Source organism: Homo sapiens, chromosome 11 (genome assembly GCF_000001405.40).
Source record: "Homo sapiens chromosome 11, GRCh38.p14 Primary Assembly".
NCBI lineage: Eukaryota > Metazoa > Chordata > Mammalia > Primates > Hominidae > Homo > Homo sapiens.
In genome coordinates, this window is record NC_000011.10 from 60,325,341 (window position 1) to 60,350,060 (window position 24,720).

The window sequence follows — 24,720 nt, forward strand, 5'->3', positions numbered from 1 at the left end:
AAAGACAAAACCACATGATCATTACAACAGATACTGAAAAAGCATTTGACAAAGTTCAACATCCTTTCTTGTTAAAAATACTCAACAGTTTATGTATAAAAAGAAAGTTCCTCAATATAGTAAAGACTATTTATAAAAACCCACAGCTATCATTATAATTAATATAGAAAAACTGAAATATTTTTCTCTAATATTTAGTTCAGGGCAAGCATAACCACTTTCACCATTTCTATTCAATATTGTATTAGAAATTCTAGTCAATGTAATCAGAAAAGAGAAAAATTAAAAGCTATCCAAATCAGAAAAGAAGTAAAATTATTTCTATTTGCCTATGGCATGATCCTATATGTAGAAAACCTCAAAAACCACCCTCCACCCACTAGCACTGTTAGAAATAATAAATTAATTGACTAAAGTTGCAGGATACAAAATCAACAAACAAAAATTAGCTAAATGTTTGCACACAATTAAAAACTTAGCTGAAAAGAAATAAAGAAAACAATCTTATTTATATTAGCATCAAAAATATATAGGAATAATTTTAACCAAGGAATTGAAAGATCTGTATAGTAAAAACTATAAAACATTGATGAAAGAAATTGAAGACACAAATAAATGGACAGATATCCTGTGTACACACATTAGAAGAAATATTGTTAAAATGTGTATGCTGAAGTTTCCCTGACACCTACACAGGTGGGAACTGCACTGCACGAGTGCCAGCAGAGGCAAATTTAACTCACTTGCTGCTCCACCCTTTGCTGGAGGGGCAGCACAGGTGAGCAGGTGCAGGACTCAGGGCAAGCACTTTTGGGTGCCGGCAAGAGCAAACTCCATACCAGTCCCATGGCAGCATCTAGGGAGAGGGTGACCGTGATCTCTGAAGACCCAGAAGAAGTGTTACACTGCCCATTTTAGCTTTGCCATCCAAGGATAGCTTAAGTGTTAATAGCTCAGTGGAGGGTCAGTGTGACAGTGTTTTGCACCTACACTCATGGCACCCAAGTTCTTGTTCAGCATCCAGGAGGAATGAGGTTGCATGAACGAACTGAAGATGGTAAATGCAAGAGATTTTAGTGCTGGTGAAAGTGGCTTTCAGTGGGAAGGGAATATGTAAAGGGGATGGATGGAGCGGGAAGGTAATCTTCCCCTGGAATCTGGCCGAGGACTAGATGCTACACCATCAAGCTGTCCCTCTCATGTCAAGCTGCTTCTGTCTGCCATACAACCATAGTCTTCAACATCCAGCTGCATCTCCTCTCTCTGCTGGCTGAGCCTGGGGTGTTTATGAGCATAGGATGGAGGGTGGGGCAGGATATGGGTGGTTTTGGAAAAGGCGACATTCAAGCAGGAAAACAGGGATGTATGTTCTCACTTTGGGCTGAGTTATCAGGCTTTTTGGCTTGACGGTGGGGCCCTTGCTGGGGACCTGCCTTCTTCTGCACAGAATTTCCCTGCCTCCTATACTTATCAATGCTACTAAAAGCAGTATAAGGATTCAACACAATCCATCTTCACAGAAATATAAAATGAAATGCTAAAATCCACGTGTAATCACAGAAGACCCTGAATAGCCAAAGTAATTCTGAGAAACAAGAACAAAGTTGGAAGCATTATGCTTCTTTATTTAAAAGTATATTATAAAGTTATAGTAATCAAAACAGTATAATACTGGCATAAAAGCAGACATATAAACCAGTGGGACAAAAATATACAGCCCAGAAATAAACCCAAATATATATGGTTTCTATGGTTTGAAGCCTTGAATGTTTGTGTCCTTTCCAAAATGCATGTTGAAACTTAATCTCAAATGCAATAGTTTGGGCCTTTAAGAGGAAATTAGGTCATGATGACTCCTCCCTCATGGATGTAATTAAGGTCCTTATAAAAGAGGCTTCACAAGACATTTGGACTATTTCACCCTTCCATTCATTCCACCATGTGAGGACACAGTTTGTCCTATCTGGAAGATGCAGCAACAAGATACCATCTTGGAAGCAAGCAACGTGACCCTAAGTAGATGCTGAACCTGTGGCACCTTGATCGTGGACTTCTCAGTTCCAAAACTGTGAGAAATAATTTTCTATTTTTTATAATTACCCAGTTTGTGGTATTCTGTTATAGCAGCACAAATGGACTAAGAAAGAAACTGGTACCAATAAGTGGAGTACTGCTGTATCGAACACCTAAAAATGTGGAAGTGGCATTGGAACTGGGTAATGGGTAGAGGCTAGTCTCTAACAGACGATTCTGGTAAGGACTAAGAAGAAGAGAGCTGTAGACAGAACCTCAGTCTTAGAGATTATTTTAGTGGTTGTAATTACAATATCAATTAAAATGTGGGCAGTGAGTGCCATTCTGATGTGGTGTCAGATGAAAATGAGAAATAATTAAAAACTGGAGGGGGCCAGGCGCAGTGGTTCAATGCTTGTAATCCCATTCACTTTGGGAGGCCGAGGTGGGCAGATTACTGGAGGTCAGGAGTTCAAGACCAGTTTGGCTGATATGGTGAAACCTCGTCTCTACCAAAAATACAAAAATTAGCCTGTCATGGTGGTGCACACCTATAATCCCAGCTACTCGGGAGGCTGAGGCTGTAGAATTGCTTGAACCTGGGAGGCGGAAGTTGCCATGAGCCAAGATCGCACCACTACACTCCAGCCTGGGTGACAAAGTGAGACTCCATCTCAAAAAAAAAAAAAAAAAAAAAAAAGTGGATCAAAGGCCATCCTTGTTATCAAGTGGCAAAGAATATGGCTGAATTGTGTCTATGTCCCAGGGTTTTGTGGAAGGCAGAACTTAAAGGCAATGAACTAGGATGTTTGGTGAAATAAATATCTAAGTGAAGTGTTCAGGGAACTGACTGCTTATAATAAAATACGGGAAGAGAGAAATGAATTAAAAGATAAAATGTATAATCAAAAAGTAAGTGAAATTTAAAGATTTAGAAAATTATCAGCCTGGCCATGTGAAGATAAAAGGCTGTTCAAGAAAGAAAATTAAAGGTATGGCCAAGCTACTGTTTAAATAAGAAATATATATGTGTAGGTAGAAGCCAGATACTATTCACTAGAACAGTGGAGGGGTGATCCCAGTGATATTTGGAAGATCTTTGGGGCTCCCATTCCCATTACAGGTGCCAAGTGCTAAGTTTTTATTGACAGATGAATGGATAAACTGTGAGATACACACACACACACACACACACACACACACACTCATATAATTCAGACTTAAAAAAGGAGATCTTGCCATTTGCCACAACATGGAAGATACTGGAGAAACTTATGCTAAGTAAACTTACCCAGACACAGAGACATATTGCACAATCTCATTTATATGTGGAATCTAAAATAACAACAAAACAACTAACAATATAGAATTCAGAGAGATAGAGAGTGAAACTGTGGTTACCAGGGGTAGAAGAAGAGAGAGAGAGAGAAAACTGGTAGGGGAGAGCAGCAGGTCAAAAGATACAAAGTGAAAGATAAGTAGGATGAGCAAATCTAGAGTTCTAATGTACAGTACAAAGACGATAGTTAATAACAAGGTATTGTATTTGGCATTTTTGCTAAATGACTAGATTTTAGCTGCTCTTGCCACACATAGAAATACAAACGAGTGACTATTTGAAATAATAGATATGTTAATTTTTAAATTTTTATTATTATACTTTAAGTTCTGGGATACATGTGCAGAACGTGCAGGTTTGTTACACAGGTATACACGTGCCATGGTGGTTTGCTGCACCCATCAACCCATCGTCTACATTAGGTATTTCTCCTAATGCTATCCCTCCCCTTGCCCCCCACCCCCCGACAGGCCTTGGTGTGTGATGTTCCCCTCCCTGTGCCCATATATTCTCGTTGTTCAATTCCCACTTATGAGTGAGAATATGCAGTGTTTGGTTTTCTGTTCCTGTGTTAGTTTGCTGAGAATGATGGTTTCCAGCTTTATCCATGTCCCTGAAAAGGACATGAACTCATTCTTTTTTATGGCTGCATAGTATTCCATAGTATATATGTGCCACATTTTCTTTATCCAGTCTATCATTGATGGGCATTTGGGTTGGTTGAAGTCTTTGCTATTGTGAATAGTGCTGCGATAAACATACGTGTGTATGTGTCTATATAGCAGAATGATTTATAATCCTTTCAGTATATACCCAGTAATGGGATTGCTGGGTCAAATGGTATTTCAAGTTCTAGGTCCTTGAGGAATCACCACACTGTCTTCCACAATGGTTGAATTAATTTACACTCCCACCAACAGTGTAAAACAATTCCTATTTCTCCACATCCTCTCCAGCACCTGTTGTTTCCTGACTTTTTAATGATCACTATTCTAATTGGCATGAGATGGTATCTATTGTGGTTTTGATTTGCATTTCTCTAATTACCAGTGATGATGAGCTTTTTTTCCTATGTTTGTTAGCCATATAAATTTCTTCTTATGAGAATTGTCTGTTCATATCCTTCACCCACTTTTTTTTTTTTTTTTTTTGAGATAGAATATCGTTCAGTCACCCAGGCTGGACTGCTGTGGCACAATCTCAGCTCACTGCTACCTCTGCCTGCTGGGTTCAAGTGATTCTCCTGCCTCAGCCTCCTGAGTAGCTGAGACTACAGGTGCATACCAGCACACCTGACTAATTTGTTGTATTTTTAGTAGAGATGGGGTTTCACCGTGTTAGCCAGGCTGGTTTTGATCTCCTGACCTCATGATCCATCCGTCTTGGCCTCCTAAAGTGCTGGGATTACAGGCGTGAGCCACCGCGCCCGGCCTCCTTCACCCACTTTTTGATGGGGTTGTTTGTTTTTTTCTTGTAAGTTTGTTTAAGTTCCTTGTAGATTCTGGATATTAGCCCTTTGTCAGATGGATAGATTGCAAAAATTTTCTCCCATTCTGTAGGTCGCCTGTTCACTCTGATGATAGTTTCTTTTGCTGTGTAGAAGCTCTTTTGTTTAATTAGATCCCATTTGTTAATTTTGGCTCTTTTTTTTTTTTTTTTTTTTTTTTTAGGCGGAGTCTCACTCTTTTGCCCAGGCTGGAGTGCAGTGGCGCGATCTCGGCTCACTGCAAGCTCCGCCTCCCGGGTTCACACCATTCTCCTGCCTCAGCCTCCCGAGTAGCTGGGATACAGGCACCCACCACCACGCCCAGCTAATTTCTTTTGTATTTTTAGTAGAGACGGGGTTTCACTGTGTTAGCCAGGATGGTCTCGATCTGACCTCGTGATCCGCCCACCTCGGCCTCCCAAAGTGCTGGGATTACAGGCATAAGCCACCGCGCCTGGCCAATTTTGGCTTTTGTTGCAATTGCTTTTGGTTTTATTCATGAAGTCTTTGCCTATGCCTATGTCCTGAATGGTATTGCCTAGGTTTTCTTCTATGGTTTTTATGGTTTTAGGTCTTATGTTTGAATCTTTAATCCATCTTGAGTTAATTTTTGAATAAGCTGTAAGGAAGTGGCCCAGTTTTAGTTTTCTGCATATGGCTAGCCAGTTTTCCCAACGTCATTTATTAAATATGGAACACTTTCCCGATTGCTTGTCTTTGTCAGGTTTGTCAAAGATCAGATGGCTGTAAATGTGTGGTGTTATTTCTGAGGACTCTGTTCTGTTCCATTGGTCTATATATCTTTTTTGGTACCAGTACCATGCTGTTTTGGTTACTGTAGCCTTGTAATATAGTTTGAAGTCAGTAGTAACCATTTTATTCTCTATATGTATCTCATAATATCATGTTGTATACTTTAAATATGTACAATGAAATTTATTTTACAAAATGTAAGTGCTTGATATCCTGATACTTAATGTCTAAATACTTAAGACATGTCCCCTAAGAATAATATTCTACTATATAGCTTTAATACAATTATTACATCCCAAAATTTATTAATATAATAATAATCCAATATATAGTTCTTATTACAATTTCCTCCATTATTCCCTAATTATAAAAATATGAGGATAATGGAGGGGCTTATGTGTTTATATATAAATAAACACATAAATTATGGTTCACTCATACATTTGGTTCTCTTGTCCTTTGAGTCTTTCATAATCTACTCATAGAGCAGTTTCTCACCATTTTTTGTTTGTTTGATTTTGCATTTATTTTAGTCTTTTATGACACTGACTTTTGTTTTTGTTTTTTTAGTCTGGAGCATTTGTTTCATATAATGCCCCATATCTTGGACATTTCTTCTTGTTTTCCATGAGTTCAAGTTAATAATTTTAATAAAAACACAACATAGATGATGTGACTTACCAACTTTTCATTGCATCACATAAGGATGAACATAATAACAGTTTATTTCAATTTTGGTGGTGGTTACTTTAATCAATTGATTCGGGTGGTGTTATCAGTTGAATGTTTATGTCTTCCCGAAATTCATATGTTAAAATTCTAACCCCTAAAGTGATGGTATTAAAAAGTGGGGCCTTTGCAAGGCGATAAGGTAACAAAGGTGGAGTCCTCATGAATGGGATTGGTGCTCTTATAAAAGAGACCCCACAGAGCTCTCTTGCTCCTTTCGACCATGAGAGGACACAGCAAGAAGACAGACATCCTTGAACCAGAAAGTTGGCCTTCATCACACTTGAGGATATGCCAGCAATTTGACGTCAGATGTCCTGGCCTCCAAAATCGTGAGAAATAAATGTTTGTTTTTTCAGCCACCTAGATTATGGTATTTTTGTTATAACAGTCTGAACAGACAAAGACAGGTGGTATTCACATGCTATTTTCATTTTAAAGGTATATTTTTAACTTCATAACTAAAAAGGAATCAGTAGTCTTATGCTTTTAAGACAAAGTGAATATTATGTTTCAAAAAATATTTTCACTGAATGGTGTTAGTATCCATTAAATTTGTCATCTCATCCTCTATTCTCAGCCTAAATGTATTAGTCTACTTTATTACTCAAGTTACAACTGAAAGACGGAAACTCGGATATCAAGGTATAAAAGTTTTGCATTTCCTGGGAACACATAATTGTAGTAAACTCTTAGATAAATTGATCCTAATTATGTGTCAATGCTCATTATTCATGAGGAAGTTAGAGAATAAGAAGGCCTTAACTCTTTGGACCCAAAACAACTATCTGAGTTTTTGTTTCTCAGCTAGTCCTGTTTCCCAGGTCCCATCTGCATCTCAGCTTTCATTTCCCACTCTCCAACTCTCTCCTTCACGACCAGGGGAATCTTCTATTCCCTAAGGACATCTGTCCTTCTCTTATTTGATCTTATGTCAGTTTGACATGGCATGGTTTAAGTCAATGTTTCCCCATGTAGCTGAGGTGCTAAGTGCAAATATTAACTGATTCAGAGAACCATCAACCTTGTCAAAACCATAAAACTGCTCTTTATTAGTTGACCCAAAATCATAATTTGGACAGAGATATTTCAAGACATTTTCAGATATAAACCATAAAACAAATATACCAAATAATATATGTAAGACACAAAGAGAAAGCAATTGATCCGAGGCTACTATGTATATAACAAATAAGATTTTATCTTGTTAAAACACCCGCATGCCCGCATAAATCAGTCAGAACCAGATGACTCTTTCTAGCTGTTGATTCCTCCTCCTCACAAAGAGCCCACACGCTTCATTTTGCTTAATTGTCACTTTGAGGAAAATGTTTCTTCCTTTCTTTCCTTCACACTTCCCTCTTTTCCTTCATTATAGGAAGAAACTTCTCACTTACATATGAGAAATCACAGTCACTTTTGTGAAATAGCTTATGCTGAACATTAGCCCTTCCTTCTCTGGATCCCTTGAATGCTGGAATAGTTACCAGGCTGTGTTTTCAACTGAGGACTTCCTGTTGCCCAATACTAATGTATCCAATGCAGATTACAAGAAAGATTAAAAGTCTTGCAAACACATGAATTTTTTTCTTTCTATCCCAAGCATTTAAGACTTTCTTAGTACTTTTCTTAAGATAATATATGCAAAGGGAGAGATAAGTGGAGGAGTTAGAGGAATATAGTAATGGAGGAAGGAAAAGGAGATTTTGCTTACTAGTTTCTAGCTTTTGTTTTCCAGCAATCCAAAGAACAATATCTCACTAAAAAGTTTATGATACATGCTTTAGAAAGATATATCAAAAGAGAAGAGTTCCTAGAGTACAGGGTATGAGAGGTATCATGGAATGGAGGGGGAAACACGATAAATAAGAGAAGGACACATGTCCTTAGGGAATAGAAGATTCCCCTGGTCCTGAAGGAGAGGGTTGGAGAGTGGGAGATGAAAGCTGAGATGCAGATGGGACCTGGGAAACAGGGCTAGCTGAGAAACAAAAACTCGGATAGTTGTTTTGGGTCCAAAGAGTTAAGGCCTTCTTATTCTCTAAGGAGGGATCCCTAGAACTAGAAATGCCAGGGAGACAGTTTTGCCCATGGACCTGCAGGAACAAGAGATATTTTATGGAGAATGTGCACAGAGAGTTGTATATATTGTTAGAGAAACACCAAAATTTATCTCCAACTCCTTTGTTGTCAAACATAAATATCTGTTTCTGAGCTCTGCCACGGGAACTTGGGAGCACTTCAGGTGAGTGCAGAGCCAGGAAAAGACGCATCAAAATGAGTAGAAAAAGTCGTGGCATTTTACTCGTCCTGGCCTCTTTCACCCTGATACAGTGAGACTCGATCTGGAGAAAACCCTGAAGTCCCAGCTTCTCCCTTAGGGAAGCAACAGGAGTGGGCCATGAGTCCAGCATTCTGGGTTTCCAGCGGGGTTGCCCAAGGCACTGGTTTCTGTCTTACATGACTCAGAGTGCAGAGTTTGGATGCCATGTTGGGGGCCTCTGAGAACAAAGGCAAGCACCCTGTTTCAGCACTAGGGAGATTGTAGTACTGAAGGCGGACACCAGGGGGAGAAAGAGGTTACAGGCTCCAGACAAGAAACAAGCAAACCTCTTTAACTGGGAAATTACACACACAAGCCCATAAAAAGCTTGAAGGGCCCCTAGAATCTCTAGCTATGCTAACCAATAAAGGTCTTCCAATGTATGAAGCCACTCTGTAATGACTGGAGGAGGTTGGGTGTATTTTTCAAATATTAAAAGCACTGCAGGATAAAAACTAAGAGCATGTCTAGTAAAATATGATAAACATATCTAAGATGCATGCTAATAGACAAAAAATAAATGATTAGAGTGCATTTGTCTAAAAAATTCATCAAATATATGGCAATACAGTTGTTGTCAGTAGGACTGGGCAAAGGGACATTGCTGCATATTGCAAATTTTGTGTGACCCTTTGCCTCTGGATATTGGGACCTCTCAAGATTCATGCTGCTGCCACCCTGTGATGTGTTTATTATCTATAATGGACTGTGTCAAACATTATGGAAAAATCCTCATGATACCAAGGTTGTGTGGCTTTCACTGCTCCATAATATCAGTTTCTTTCTCTAACACACAGGCCAAGTCTGGACTAATTGGCAGAAACTGACTTACCAGTTTTGCAGCCAGAACTTGGGAGCTCTGTACTTTTAAGAGCTAAATCTATTTTTTCTTCCGTAGTTGGCAACACCATTATGACATCACAACCTATTTCCAATGAGACCATCATAATGCTCCCATCAAATGTCATCAACTTCTCCCAAGCAGAGAAACCCGAACCCACCAACCAGGGGCAGGATAGCCTGAAGAAACGTCTACAGGCAAAAGTCAAAGTTATTGGGGTAAATCTAATTCAGAACATGTTGGAGAGGGGTTAGGGGAAGTGGGAAGAGATGATGTATGTTTTGGGACTGGTCATCCTTGTGAGTGTGGAGACCCTTAAGTTTTGCTGGAGGGACTTTGGGGTAGAAGCCACTTGGAGAAAACTGTCCCAGAACTTTTCCACAGGAGATTGTCTTAGAAACGTTTTTTCCCTTATTCTGAATATGAGGAGTTGATTTTCTGTTGTTGTCTTTGTATTTTTGCAATACAGTACTTCTCTATATTTTCTTTTACGAAAGTAATGGTGGTAAATAATGACATATTGTATATACATTTTTCTGTATTTCACAACTGCATGCTTAACAATCCACACTGATTCTTTGCAAGGAATTTTTCCCTTACTGCAAATTACAGAAAAAATATACCTCCTCTCCCTGTTTTCTTCTTACCTTTTTGAGAATGGAAATGATATTTACCTTTTATTTGTCTGTTTCTCCTCTCATCCAGAGTTTATTAAAGAAGCTGTATTGCATGAAGGGAGGAGAGAAAGAAGGGATCTATCTTGGATTGGGAGGGAAACACAGAGTTTTGGTTTCTAGAATTGCCTCTGCACTTATGTGATCTGAGGTGAGGCACTCTGTTTGACTGGATTTCAGGACCTGGTGGGACTGGTTTCCTTGCCTCATGTACAATCATATGGGTTTCTATGAGGCTCAGGTGACAAAAGGTCTAGGAAACTTCTTGGTAAATGATAATAGAGCTGTGAATCTCTGAGGTGGATGTCAGGAAGGAAAACTACCTCCTAAGACAGAGCTTCAGTTATACATGAGAACATGCAGTATTTGGTTTTGTTAGTTTGCTAAGGGTGGTGGCCTCTAAATGATGAGAACACATGGACACGTAGAAGGGAACAATGCACACTGGGGCCTTTCAGAGGGTGGAGGGTGGGAGGAGGGAGAGGATCAGGAAAAATAACTAATGCACAGAAACTCAATTTGGAAGCTCTGGCTACAAAAATCTCCCAAAGCCAGCAAGGAAGTCAGAGAGAGTGCCCAGAAAAATGCCAGTTCTTTCTTTCCCTCGTTGGTATTTAGAGATTATTGTTTGGAACCCTCAGTTACAATCCAACACTAGATCTGTGCTGTGCAATGTAACTGTCTATGATGGAAATGAAATGTAACTTTCTATGATGATGGAAATCCACAACAGCTGCACTGTTACAATATGGCGGTCACATGTGGCTATCGATGATGTGAAATATGGATAGTGCAACTGAATTTTAAATTTTACTTAATTTTACTTCAAATATAAGTAGCCCATGTGGCTACTGGCAACCATACTGAGTAGCCTAGTACAAGAGTAATGTTTTCAAACTTTTAGTAGGAAATATATGGGCCTCTTACTCCAGAGAACAATCCCACAGTGAACATGCAGGAAGCTCAAGGATGCAGGATGTGGTCTCGGGGTGGGCTCAGACTCACCAGAGACATCGAGGCTTTAGTGAGTTCTACTCTTGTCACACATTGTACCAGCCCTTTTTGAGATTGAAGAAGAGTGCCATCTCAAGACAAATCTAGCTTATTCTAAGAAATATAGACTCTAGGCATCAAGACTACTACTGGCTACTAGGAGGCCCAGGAGTGTACACTTCAGTCATTATGTTGGGAAATTGGGGTCCCAGAGCATCAACTGGTGAGTTCCTAAAAGAAGAAGTGCCCATATGGGATTAAATAACACTCTACTGTATGGCTGTGGGATGTGCCCTGGAGCCTACCTACCTGTAACAATAGCTTTCAGAATGCTGTGAGCTCAGTTCTCTTTTCTGTGTGAGTTGGAGTAAAGGAAGTCACTTCTGAGGTCAGTTTATTTATTTCCTCCACTTCATAAATGTAGAAATGAGAACCAGAGTGGGAAATAAAACCAAGGAACTGAGTACCCAAGGGAACAAGCTGGGTCAAGTCTATATTGTGACCTCAATTTTCTGACATCCAGTCCAGGCCTTTATTCTGTACCTCCCGCTGCCTCCCACACATTACACCATCCTTGGGCCCGCACCTAGACCTCTGCCCACAGCCACCCCATGCTGCGCTCAATGTGGCCAGTCATATGCCTGCCCAGGTTCCAGGGCCTGCCTGAGACTCAGAACCACCCCCTCACTCATCTTTGAGAGGTGTGCTTTTGAGAGAGGCAATAGGCACGCAAAAGTGAGCTATTAGGTTGGTGCAAAGGTAATTGCGGTTTTGCCATTGAAAGTAGTGGCAAAACCCAAAATTACTTTTGCACCATGCTAATACACCATCCAGATTTTCTGTGTGGTTGATGCTTGCACGAGGGGTTTCTGAGTTGGCCGAGAGAGAAACTGCATCTGGTACATTGCCACCTTTGCTTGTGGTCACACTCACAGTAATTTTCCAGGCAAGCCTCGTGGGCCCTGCTATCTGTCCCAGGGAAAGAATTTAGGAGAGTAACATTCTCTACCACACTACTGAGGTCCTGTTTGAGGGGAACCAGTTCATATGTTCATTCATTCAGCCAAGTTTTACGTTGCAGATTCTGAGTTTTTGGCTGGACACTGGAGAGGCCTACAACAAGAAATGATCCCTCCGGGACTTCCTGAGGGAGACAGATAAGGGAATAACTTGCAATGTAATGGCAAAAAGGGATAAGAGAGATTCGTGGCCCTTTGGGAATGATTCTTACCCAGCATGTCTCTTTCAGGTGCATAGCAGCCTGGCTGGAAGCATTCTGAGTGCTCTGTCTGCCCTGGTGGGTTTCATTCTCCTGTCTGTCAACCCGGCTGCATTAAATCCTGCCTCATTGCAGTGTAAGTTGGACGAAAAGGATATACCAACCAGACTTCTTCTTTCTTATGATTATCATTCACCTTACACCATGGACTGCCATAGAGCCAAAGCCAGTCTGGCTGTAAGTATTTTTTAGATGGGATGTTCTAATTTTATGAGGTTTCTGAAAGCCTTGATTTCTTATTATTCCATCCTTTGAAAATCTCTCTGTTAATTCTGGTTTGGGCATCTGGAGGAAGGCCAAGGTTATGTAAATCAAAGGGGGGCTGCATGGATGAGATTAAGGGGATTACATACTAACAGAGTGGAATTGAAATGTCAGATAAGGTTGATGATGAAAAACTAAAACTTACGGTTTGTAGAGTTTCTTAATTACTCAACTAATCTAATTTTGGAGGCATAAATTATGAGTTTGTCAAACTGAGAATGTTGGTACATAGAGTGGTGAATTCAGATTGGCAAACAGAGCAGAAAGACCCGGGTGATCAGAAAATGCTGACAAGGAAATGTGGTATGTGTGTGTGGTAGGGGGTCAGTTTGGTCTAAAAAGACATCAGACTAAAGATGAAGAAACAGAGAATAGGAAATATGGGGTTAGATGGTAAGGGTTTCTCCTAATGATTACAATAATGAATAATACTAATCAGGTGAAACGGTAACATTATTATTGCTTTTTGTTATAGCTGAAAGAAGTGTGATATCTTAAATCAGGAGATAAGAAATATAGGGAGATGGAGAGTGTAACTGAGAATTATCGCAGGAGAATTCTCTCTCTTTGGAAGAAGAAAAACAATGAAGTTTGGCTAACAGAAATAATGTGTCTGAAGTTGAAAAATTAAGGGGTATGTGCATGGCCAGCAACGCATTGAGAGGAAAACAGGCAACATAAAAGTAAAGAAGTTGCAGAATATTTATTGTCCTGCAATCATAAAAATGAGGTCAGCCAAGAACTCACCTGGACGATGGACAGATAGAAAGGTCTGGTCAAATTCATGCTTGTACAGCACCCATTATAAACTGAGCCTTGCTTCCAAGGTAATGGTATAATGAGGAAAAAGTGCATGCAAATGAGGCTGACAGTAATTGGTACAAATTCCACCTTGGGAAAAATTCTGGAGAGAAATTTGGGAGAAATTTGGTAGTGATAAAGTATAAATTCATGATGGGACGATTTTATATTGGAAATAAGAGAGATTCTGTTGAGCTTGCTTGCTGGAACAATTTCTAGGTAATGGACACAACATGTATCTTCTATTTAACTGTGTGTAAATACCACAAAACAAAAGTTCATGTGATCAAATTACCTCCCTTTATTATCAGATGACCAGTTCTGCACAAAGAATGTCTCAGGACAGAAATGGTAGAACTCATCCTTGTGAGTTGGTGTTGGTGATTAGCAACAGTTTACTACCTTCACTGTTTTTTTCCAAGTCTTAAAACACCAAAAACAGCAAAAATAAAAAATAAACAACAAAAATAAAAAACATCCAAACAGGTTCAGATACATAGACAGGGATGTCAATACTGAATTTTACAAAGGGCTTACACAGCCAAAACCTCCTTGATCCTCACAAATCTCTGAGAAATAAATGTTAGTATGCATGTTTGATACATGAGGAAACAGGAGCTAGAGAAAGAAAGAGACTTGTCCAGGCTTACACAGCTACTCAGCAGTAAAGATGAGACTATAATGGAGCTGCTGATTCTCAGTCCTGGGAGCTATTACGCCACTCTGCTCTCTTACTGAGTGAACAATGTCATCAGAACTACGTACGTCTCAAAGAAGTGAGAAACAAGTGTATGAAATGGATTAGTTGATTTAGTTACTACTCATCTTCCCTTCTCTTCTCAAGAAACTGAATGAGTGAAGGAGTTGAATTAAGACAATTGTGAGGAGGAGCAGTTTTGTTTTCCTGATTGTTTCCTTACTTCATTCTCTAATGGTTGAGGTGGTCTTCATCTCTATGGTCACCTCTAAACTAGGCATGAAAGCTTCGGCTGACCCAAGCATCACTGATATTTTATTTCTTGACTTTCAGGGAACTCTGTCTCTGATGCTGGTTTCTACTGTGTTGGAGTTCTGCCTAGCTGTGCTCACTGCTGTGCTGCAGTGGAAACAGACTGTCTGACTTCCCTGGGTGAGTGTGCTGGCCAGCCTCGCTTAATCTTGCCTAGTGTATCTTATCTCTGCACTGTGTTGAGTATGTCACCAAGAGTGGTAGAAGGAACAATCAGTCAGTCATGAGATACACATGGGAGGTCATTTAAATGGTGATGGAAGACCGAGAAGAAAAGCAGATGGTAATTGAGTAGCTGACAAGCTGAGAGTTCACTGGATATGAAAATAGTTAAAATGAGAAATCAACTGGTTCAATCTTCCCATTTTGTCATTGAAGGGAATGAGACTCTGGGAAGTTAAATGACTGGGCTGGCATTATGATATGAGTCTGTACCTGTGCTGAGGACGCTAGAACCTGGCTTGCCTCCCTTCTAAGCAGAAACAATTTCTGCCACAACCACTAGTCTCTTTAATAGTATTGACTTGGTAAAGGGCCTTTACACATGTGACTGGATCCAGTGAATGTCTTATGCTCTGCTTTTCCTCCTGGTGATTTTAAAATTCTTTTTCCTTTTAAAAGATATATTAAAAATGTATTGTTGAATCAAATTCCAAGGGATACCACCCCTATGGACTTATTGCTTTATTTAACTGAATTTAAAAGCCTTGATTTATCCAGAATTTTATTATAGAGAATAGAAGAATACTAGACTGATAAATTGTAATTATTTGAAGAACCCAGTGATCTGCTCTACTTGTCTTGGATTAGCTAAGAATTCTATGTATACAGTTGGAAAAAATGGCATATCCACATGTATCTTGAACCTGAGTAAAGTCTGAAGACCTAACATACTTTGTTTCTTCTAAAGTGTGCTTTTCCTGCCTCACAGTTACTCATGTCCTCAAAGACGACTCATGATGCTGGATATGAAGAACTATTGACTTCTTGGGAAAAAACGGAGAAATATTAATTGGAAAGTTGATTTTTATGATAATATGGAAAACCTAACCATTATAAAAAAGCAAACTTGAGTTTCCTAAATGTAAGCATTTAAAGTAATGCATATTTGTTTTAAAAAATTATTTCGCTGTCATTTATGATATGTGTTCATTGGGGATCTCTTGGTTTGCCTGATACTGACTTCAGCAAAAGCACAGGGCTGTAAATTACCATTTACTAGACTAGCCAAATAGTCTTAGACATTTCCCAGAAAACTAGGCAGAATGATGATTCAATGGATCACAGTGAGGCAAAGGATACAGCTTTTTCTTATACTCCTCAATTGTGAACAGGAGTTAACTGATTTGCTGTGGTGCGCAGACTCTTTTATCACAGGTGCTACTGATTTATCCCATGTATTTTACTCATTAGTGCATAAAGGCAAACCCCATAATGAAGTCTCCGAGTGTATGAAAGTAGCCGGCTTCAAAATAAAATCTTTGAGTGCATACTTTATTTTAATACTTATTTTGTTATTTTTTCCTTTAAACACAGAATAAATCAACAATGACAGACATAAACCCAAATTTTAACTCAATTTTCTCCTCACCAATATTCAAACAAAACTAACGAGTGAACAAATGCTAACCAGGAATGCTTATCTGTTATGAAGAGACAACCAGTTCATACTTACGTCCTTATTTCAAAATAAAAAAGACGAATTGTTTGAGTATAACAAACATAAGCCTCACCTTGCTCATGCACACACACGCACACACACACACACACGTGTAAAAAAGTATTTCAATTTTATATGACCTCCATTTCTTTGAAAGATTTTGTCATATTTCCTTGCTCTGACCCTCTGTAGCAGGGGTCATACTTCATACTCACTGTCTCAGATATCCTGATACTCAGAGAGTTTCTCTGCTCTTTTTTTCCAGTCTCAAATGGAACTGTCAGTTTCTTTGATTTTAGCTTTATCTTCAAATCTGTTTCATTAGGTCTTCTCCCTGTCCTTTGCACCCCCCACTGACACACACCATTTCTTTTATTTATTTGCCTATTGTGGACATTCAACTTTTATTGATACTTATTGGATACCAGACACTATGCTTTTAATGCCAGGGCTACCAAAGTGAATAAGATACATGATTTGGCTTCAAGATATTTATAGTCAAATAAGGAAAACAGAGATGACAATGAAGTTAGGGATTTCGCTAACTGTTATTTGAGCACAGAATAAAGACACTAACTGTTATTTGAGCACAGAATAAAGAATATCATCTTCTGCCTAAAAGAATGTAGAGGATAAACAAGTGTGTGTGTGTGTGTGTGTGTGTGTGTGTGTGTGAGAGAGAGAGAGAGAGAGAGAGGGGGGGGGAGAGAAAGACAGAAAAGACAGAATGTACTTCCTTTGAAAATCCACCTCCCCACTATTAATCACATGGTGCCACCTTCCGCCACAGGAGAGGACCATTGAAGCATTGTCATTTGTCTGGGGTAATATCAGAGGTTCATTGTCTCATGCCAAGAAAATTGAAGACATGGACACACAAAGAGTGAATTTAAGAGCAGAAGTTTAATGGCTAAAAGAAAGAAGAGTGCTTCCTCATGCAGAGGAAGGGATCCCGAATGGATTTCTGGGTTTGGGGCAAGATGAGGCTGGTTTTATAGATGAGTCTGAGGAGGTCGTGTCTGATTTACATCAGGCATAGTAGATTGGTTGGACCAGATGTGCCATTTACATAGCATGGGAAGTGCTGGCCATCCCACACTAATCTTTTATTATGCAGATGGGGTCTCCACCTGGCCGGCACCATATTGCCTGCTTTTTTGCTGCACACATGGTGACAAAGAAAAGGGAAGAGGGAACCTCCATGCTTAATATATCTAGCTTCCAGGTATCCCTTTTCTATTGGCACAACTGCTGGCATTCACCTTTGCAAGCTTCCAGCTTGCTTATCTATTCTTGCAGCTGGATTTTTCAGGCTTCTTTTGCTAGACAAGAAATGATTTGGGGGCTGCTTTTTAATAAAAAGAAAATCTTACTGAGAACTCCCTTACCCTCACTAGCTACTTAAATAATTTCTTTTTAGCTCCTGTGTTATTTCTCCCCTCAGAAGTAGTAACCCTAACTGCTGTTAGAGGGTGTTGGACAGTGACTCTTTCTGACTACTTCCTGCTGAAAAGGGGCATCTAGTGGGGACAGCAGCTAGGGCTCCTCCTGAGTTCAATCTAACGGTCCTCAGAAGAAAGGCGTGTCCGTGTGTGGTTCTGCCTGCAGCACCATTTAAAGTTTGCTTCTAGGCCAAAAGAGATAAATTTTACAAGAAGGTTTAGAATACAGGGTTTGAATATGAGTATTAAGATTACCATTATTAGTGGGGGTACCATAGGCCATAACCATGCCAGTGGAGTTTGATACCTGTTAGCCATTTTAATGGCTTGTAATACTAGTTTGCCTCCACCAGGTGTCGCTTACTTTACTAGACGCGTTAATATAAAAGGAACCTTTTTTTTGCATAAGTGTCCCCCAATTATTAATTCTACTATAAAGATTATAATTAGACAGAATATTACAGCAATTAGAATTTTCCAACCGGAATTCCATATTGCAGGTGCCACAATGTATAGTTGTGTTGCAAATAGTAGAGCGCATGTATCAATTCCCGGAAAGGTGGTGTAGTAGATAATTTACGTCTAAAACTTTTACTCGCCAAGATGTAGAATTTCTCCTTGGGGTTCTATGAAGTTACAAATGTAATCCCATGTATAATTAAAATCTCCCTGCAAATATGTGTTAAAAAGAAGTGCTAATATCTGGCTGCGAATCTCGAGAGGAAATGTTGAAATGACAAAAAGTATCTGGTGAGTTAAAGGTGGGACTGAGTAAGATGGGTAGCCCTTACTTACTTACTTATCTTTTATGATTTTCAGCTTAAGATCTCCTATTTTTTGTCATTGATGTCCAGGACGTTCTTCTGGGCTGTCAGAGGTTGCTCTCTCAGCTTTCCAGGCTTTGACTGGAGTGTGATGTATGCAGGAATTAATACCTGTAACTTTTACTGCTGAGGGGGTTGAAAGAACAGTGTAGGGCCCTTCCCAGCTTGGGGTCAGGAAGAGAGAGAGAAGGGAGAGCTTTCACCAATACCAAATCTCCTGGGTTAAATAAAGGTGATCCTATTTCTTGGAGTTGGGCTTTTGCTAACTGTGTTAATTCCTGCTGGAAGTGAGCCAGAGAGGTTACATGCTCAACCAACTCAGAGATTTCTTAATTTAATAGAAAATCATTGGTAAGGAAAGACCATCCATACAGCATTTTAAAAGGGCTCACTTTGTCTGCCATTGTCACTTTGGAGGTATTTAAGTAGACCACAGCGGGGAGTTATTTCATTAACTAACACTTTATTACCTCAGATGCCTTTTCTGTATGGCATGAAAATGCTTCTAACCAGTTGGCGAAAGTATCTGTCCCTACCAGGAGATATTGGATGCCCTTCATCTTTGGCATGTGGGTGAAGTCTGTCTGCCAGTCCTCCCCTGGATAGCTTCCTATTCTTTGGGTTTGAGGAGGAAGGAGCCACCTGTTCAGGGGATTATTTTTAAGACAGATTTCACAAGCATTAACAACCTGTTTGGCTGTTTTTGGTAAGTTCTCTCCTGAAAACAATCTCTGGGCACATTGATGAGTTTTATCCTTTCCCAAGTGAAAAGCTTGATGGAGGATTTTAAGGACTTTCCATTGGCTAGAGACTGGCAAGTAGAGTTTGCCATCCTGACTGTAGCCATCCTGAGAGCTGGAAAATATACACTTGAGAAGTGGCCCATTCTATTTCTGCAGGGAAGTACTGAGGTTTAATTTCTTTATGGAACCTTCCCAGATTAGAGGGGCTTGAAGTCCATAGATGTCTTGAGGCTTCCTTGCTGCTGACTTAGCTGCCTGATCAGCTAACCTATTTCCTTCAGCTACTTCATCTTTTCCCTTTTGATGTCCCTTACAGTGTAGCACTGTTATCTTTCATGGAAGGAAAACTGAGGATGATAACCTGCTAATTTCCTGGTGGTTTTTGTTTGTTTGTTTTGTTTTTTTTGTTTGTTTTTTTGTTTTTTGTTTTTTGTTTTTTTGAGACAGAGTCTCACTCTGTGGCCCAGGCTGGTTGCAGTGGCACAATCTCGGCTCACTGCAAGCTCCACCTCCTGGGTTCACGCCATTCTCCTGCCTCAGCCTCCCGAGTAGCTGGGACTACAGGTGTGCGCCACCACACCAGGCTAATTTTTTGTATTTTTAGTAGAGATGGGGTTTCACCGTGTTAGCCAGGATGTTCTCGATCTCCTGATCTTGTGATCCACCCGCCTCGGCCTCCCAAAGTGCTGGGATTACAGGCTTGAGCCACCGCGCCCTGCCCCTGGTGGTATTTTATAGGAGATCCATTAGCAGTAAGAAAGTGTCTTTCCTTCCAAATGGCACCATGAGCATGGAGAACTAAGAAAGTATACTTGGAGTGTAAATATTACCTACCTTTATTTTGCTTAATTCAAGTGCTCTTGTAAGAGCTATCAGTTCAGCTAATTGACTGCTTGTGGCTGGAGAGAGAGACACACTTTGAAAGACGTCATTTAGAGTGGCTACTGCATATCCTGACTGTGGAGCTTCACAGCTACTATCTGTGAAGAGGGTCTAGTCTGGATTTTCTAGGAGAGTTTCCCTGAGATACTCTCTGGCTGCATTGGTTTGTATTATAACTTGTTCACAGTCATATTCAGGTTCCCCAGCTTCCTCTGGAAGGAAAGTGGCTGTGTTTAGGTGAGAACAAGTGTTTAACTCAATTGTGGAAATCTCTAACAACAGAGTCTGTTAAGGAGCTGGCTGGCTGTTAGCCAAAGGCTCCCCCTAGAGGACAGCAATCCTGCCACATTATGTGGGGTGTAAATCATTTCCCAGGGTTAATTTGGTGGCTTCTGGGACCAGTAGGGCCACTGTGGCAATGGCTTGGAGGCATGTATAAATAATAGGTCCCCCCAACTGCAACTAAGGGGTTGAGAAAAATATTAGATTAGAATTTTTCCTGAGATGCCCCTCACGTTCATGCTATGGGAAGAGGGGAGGCCTGGATTAGACAGGAGAAGAGACTGGCTCTGTTGTCCAGAAGGAGGTCTACCTTCCTTCCTTTAATTTCCAGAATCACCTGGGGCTTCTGTGCTGTTCATGACAGTTTGAGCCACTGGAGCTGGAGGTTTGAGCCCCAGGAACCATCAGTCCTATTGGACCATCTGTGAGACTGGTTCTGAAACTGGTGACTTCTGTCTCTGGGAGCAGTCTGATCTCCAGTGATCCATGCTACAGTCTGGACAGGGTCAAGGTGACTTCTTGCTGCCTGGCACTCCTTCTTAAAGTGCCCTGACTTGCCACATCAATAGCATCTAGCGGATGCACCTGAGGAATCCTGGGCTTTGCAAGCCTGCAAAACAGCTACTGGAGGCTCTGTCCTTCTCTTGTGTTTCCTCTCTTTCTCTTGGGCATCCTCCTGTCCCTATTTAAAAGACCAAAGTGGCCATGCTCAGGAGGTTCTCCAAGGTGCTATCTGGTCCTATCACCTGCTGCTGTAGTTTCCTCTTAATGTTGGGAACTGCCTGTGTAATAAACTTGTTCTTTAGGATGAGCCATCCCTTGACTGAATAAGGGGATAGGAAGTGTGTTTTATTAGTGTATCTCTCAGCCTTTCCATAAAGGCTGCAGGATTCTCATCTGGCTTTTGGTCTATCATGGACAGTTTAGAATAATTAAAAGGTTTGGCCCTAGTTCTTTGTAGGCCCTCTAATATACACATTAAAAGTGTTTCCTTTACCATTTATCTGCAGAACTATTGGAGTTCCAATCAGGGTTGGCAAAAAGAACTGCTTCCCTTCCTATTTGGAATGGTGTTTCCATTATTCCTTCACCTTCTCTGTCTCCTTTTCTCCTTTTCAGTCTACTATAAAAAACATGTTGTTCATCTCCAAATTTCTCTGCTAGCTGCAGAGCTGCCTGCTTTTCAGCTGCGGTGAGGGTTTGGCTTAGAAGCAGCATAACATCCCTCCATGCGAGGTCAAACACCTGAGTTAAAGTTCGGAAAGCTTCTATATACCTATTGGGGTCATCAGAAAATTGGCCTAGTCTCCCTTTATTTGCCAAAGGTCCTGAAATGAGCAGGAAATGTGAATCCTAATAGCACAATTTTCATCAGGCATTTCTTGTAGGGGTAAGAGTGAAGCAGGGAAAGTGGGTAGTTTTAGAGATAGTGCAGCTGGAGGAGCTGGTGGCATGGTTAGTGGGGGTCCCAGATAAGGGAGACTGGAAGGGTTGAGACACTCAGTAGCTGTCTCAGATTGTCCCCCTGGAATATGCTTTAGTTTTGGGGAATCATTTCCTATGGAATTTCCTGACATGGCTGCTAAAAGAGCTAGGTTGATTGTGCAATGCTTGCAAGTCTGGGTTATCTTGCAGGGCAAAGAAAGCCTGTACATAGGGGATCTTGGATCATTTGCCCTCCCATCTGTAGAAAAGATCTAATTGTTGGATAATATTAAAATCAAGTCTCCACCGCAGTGGGCCAAGTCTGTTCATCCCCAAGATGGTAAGAAGTTGTACAATAGAATATGAGATGCTTTTTTTTTCAAAGTCTCAGGGTCAGAGGAGTCCCAATGTTCTAGAATGCACTCAAGAGGAAATTCAGGCCAAAGACAATCTGTTATGCATCTAGAAAGAGAACTGAGAAAAAAAAAAAAAAGGCCTATCTTTAGTCTCATTCCTTTTGGTATGACACAGGGTGGAGGCGAAGACAGTGAGGGCATCCACCCTACTGTTTTCTCTCCTTGCTTCCTGTGGTCCCAGCACCTTGTTAAATGTGCTGCCCATGGTTGCAGGCATAACCCCCCACCCCAGCCATGAAACTGGAGGAACTAAGGAATGGGCTTAGTCATGCATACCCATGCAGCCCTAGTTCTCCGCTTCTGATTCCCCTTTGACTCCCTAGACTTGTATGATCTGCATGGCTCCCCAAAAGATGGATCTTGGGAAAGGCTATGTAATAGTTACATTTGGGCAAGACTGCTTTAATGGGAGGGGTGTACTAGATTGAATTCTATATTTTGCTATTATGGCCCATGCTAAAGTGTTTACCCTTAGACAGCGATTCGGGTTAACTTCTGGACATAAAATCCCCTTACCATTTAAGTACCATTCTAACTAAAGGCAGAAGAGGTTTCTTTAAAAAACCCAGGAACCAAATGGTGGTTTTCCTGCTAACAGGACAGTCTCAGAACTAAAATTGGAGGACATTTTTCTCCTAATGGTTAAAGGTAGAGTTTTTTTCCATTCACAGAAGGAGCATAAAGCCTGGTCTCTTGTGGAGGGGCGCACAAAGGGAGGAAATTGGAAAAGCTAGAGTGTTTCAGCAAAGGACTGACAATGTGCCCAGTGAGAGGATTCTTATTCCACTGGGTGATGCTGTTGACCTAGAAATACCACGTGCTTGCCAGATGAAGGGTAGAAAGAGTACAGCTCATTTCAGGGAGACCTTCTGCTCCTAGAAAATCACAAAAATGGCATTCCCTTGAGCTATATTCCCAGTTTATATGGCATTTGCTAATCTTTCCTAACAGGACTATTTCCCCACACCATAAAAATCTGTGCAGCATTGCATACAGAGGATAAGAGATATGGCAGTCGCAGATGGAAAAGGAGGAAATTTGCAATAGAAAATTGGATATCCTGTTGCTGATGCCGGATCAAGCAATCAGAGGCTGGGGTCAGTCCAGAAGGCTTCAGATAACACCAGGGTGTAACCCTGGCGAGAAATCCTCATTTGCTCCAAAACCTCTTCCAGCCCCATGCAACAGCTAGGTACTCCATGAAGAGAAACTGATTCAAAATATGGCCAACATGCCCAGTAACCTGGGGGATTGGCCATGGTATCTCCAGGAAGCCTGTCATCTGAGACTTGAGAACAGCAGGTGGTTTGCCCTAAAGGCATGTAGATGGCCATGGGATGCCCGGGATTTTTATTTGATTTGGTTTTAAAATGGTGGCTAAGAGCCTCAAAATGAATGGACAGAATTGAGGTCCACTTCTATACTCAGGAGAAGAATGGGAGTGAAGAACAATTAGACAAAGTCTAAAAGATTTCTTTCAATTCACCCAGAGTGAAGAGAATGGGGTGGGGGTGGATAAAAAAGTGCAATAAAGTTAGGATAGCACAAAAAGCACTTTTTGAAATTAAAGCACTTTAATATTGTCTTGAGAATCAACTTATGATAAGCTTTTAATATTCTCAATTATCCTTACAAACACCTTTCAACATAAGTAATCATCTCTACATTTAGCAGATGAAAAAGAGGCTCAGAGGGATGACTTACTGTATCCACTAGACTCTCCAGTAGGCAGAGTCGGGTATTGAGTGGTTTGAGCCCTTACAGACACTAGGTCTGCTTAGCTCCCGTATTCCATACCAAGAGGGTTTGGGCAACATCTGGATCACGGATCCAAAGTACACCTTCTGCCTCCTAGTATGTGCTACACCTAGGCCACGCACCTCCAATCCCTTGGCTTTTCTTCTTAAAGGAAAGCCCTGGGTGATGGCTGATAGGCAGAATATTCCATGATCTTCCTAAGGGTCCATGAGGGATAGCAACCTGGAGGTCATTGTTACTCTCCAAGGCTTTCAGAAGCTGACTCAGTTTATTACTTCTCAGGCTGCCAGGCAAACAAACAAAAAACACTCTTTCTCTTCTAATGAATGAAAAGCTAGAAGATGTTCACTTGGGCCAAGGAAAATAATCAGGGCGTGGTAGGCAGCTATAGTCCTGATTCTGTGGTTTTCCATATTTAGGTTCAACCTCGGGTCATTGGCTGAGATCAGCTGGACCTGGGTGTCATCTGATCACTTTTGTTACAGGACCAGTCCTGAGCCTGTGCACTGAGGCCTCTTCAGTTCTTTCTCTGAACCAGTAATACAAGATTCCAAATGCCAGGTACAGGAGAAACCCAGTGTTGGAGTTTTCTTGTCCCAGGTTTTTAAAAGACACGTAAGGACAAAGGATGTCAAGATGTAGAACTTTGATGTTCAACTTTCTCCTTCAGTCTTCCTTACTTGACCTTCTCTCCAGCCCTGAAGGAAATATACCATTTCCATGCCATGAAATTGCCCCATGGACATAATTGTGGTGCATTCTGACTAGACACAATCAAAACACA

The 24,720-nt window shown here is 40.7% G+C and overlaps 1 protein-coding gene across 4 annotated transcripts, besides 1 other annotated feature; it reads left to right on the forward strand.

The window, feature by feature from the left end:
• The first annotated feature begins 1,914 nt into the window (after window positions 1-1,914).
• Window positions 1,915-23,732, forward strand: MS4A6E (membrane spanning 4-domains A6E). 4 transcript variants are annotated; one of them, NR_170614.1, is made up of 6 exons: window positions 1,915-2,068; window positions 9,542-9,702; window positions 12,401-12,607; window positions 14,526-14,624; window positions 15,436-15,588; window positions 23,130-23,732. NR_170614.1 is itself a non-coding variant. In NM_139249.4 (5 exons), exons 2-4 carry the CDS (start codon window positions 9,556-9,558, stop codon window positions 14,613-14,615), a joined length of 444 nt encoding a protein of 147 aa, NP_640342.1. In that variant the 5' UTR covers window positions 1,915-2,068; window positions 9,542-9,555; the 3' UTR covers window positions 14,616-14,624; window positions 15,436-16,001. The 4 variants fall into 4 exon arrangements, 1 of the variants encoding a protein (NP_640342.1); NR_170616.1 differs by lacking the exon at window positions 23,130-23,732 and adding an exon at window positions 10,190-10,309 and having other exon boundaries at window positions 15,436-16,001; NR_170615.1 differs by lacking the exons at window positions 14,526-14,624; window positions 15,436-15,588; window positions 23,130-23,732 and adding exons at window positions 10,190-10,309; window positions 13,170-13,360 and having other exon boundaries at window positions 12,401-12,506.
• Window positions 8,696-8,990: an enhancer, noted in NCBI's record as "tiled region #5454; HepG2 Activating non-DNase unmatched - State 12:CtcfO". NCBI's record gives its function as "activates a minimal TATA promoter and a strong SV40 promoter by Sharpr-MPRA in HepG2 cells {active_cell/tissue: HepG2}" and the evidence as "EXISTENCE:reporter gene assay evidence [ECO:0000049][PMID:27701403]".
• Window positions 23,733-24,720: the final 988 nt, after the last annotated feature.

Bases quoted from the DNA above. Each gene is read 5' to 3' on its own strand.
- MS4A6E (NM_139249.4), top strand. From the start codon at position 9,556: ATGACATCACAACCTATTTCCAATGAGACCATCATAATGCTCCCATCA. The intron at 9,703-12,400 runs GTAAATCTAATT...TGTCTCTTTCAG, and splicing joins CAAAAGTCAAAGTTATTGGG to GTGCATAGCAGCCTGGCTGG. The intron at 12,608-14,525 runs GTAAGTATTTTT...CTTGACTTTCAG, and splicing joins GAGCCAAAGCCAGTCTGGCT to GGAACTCTGTCTCTGATGCT.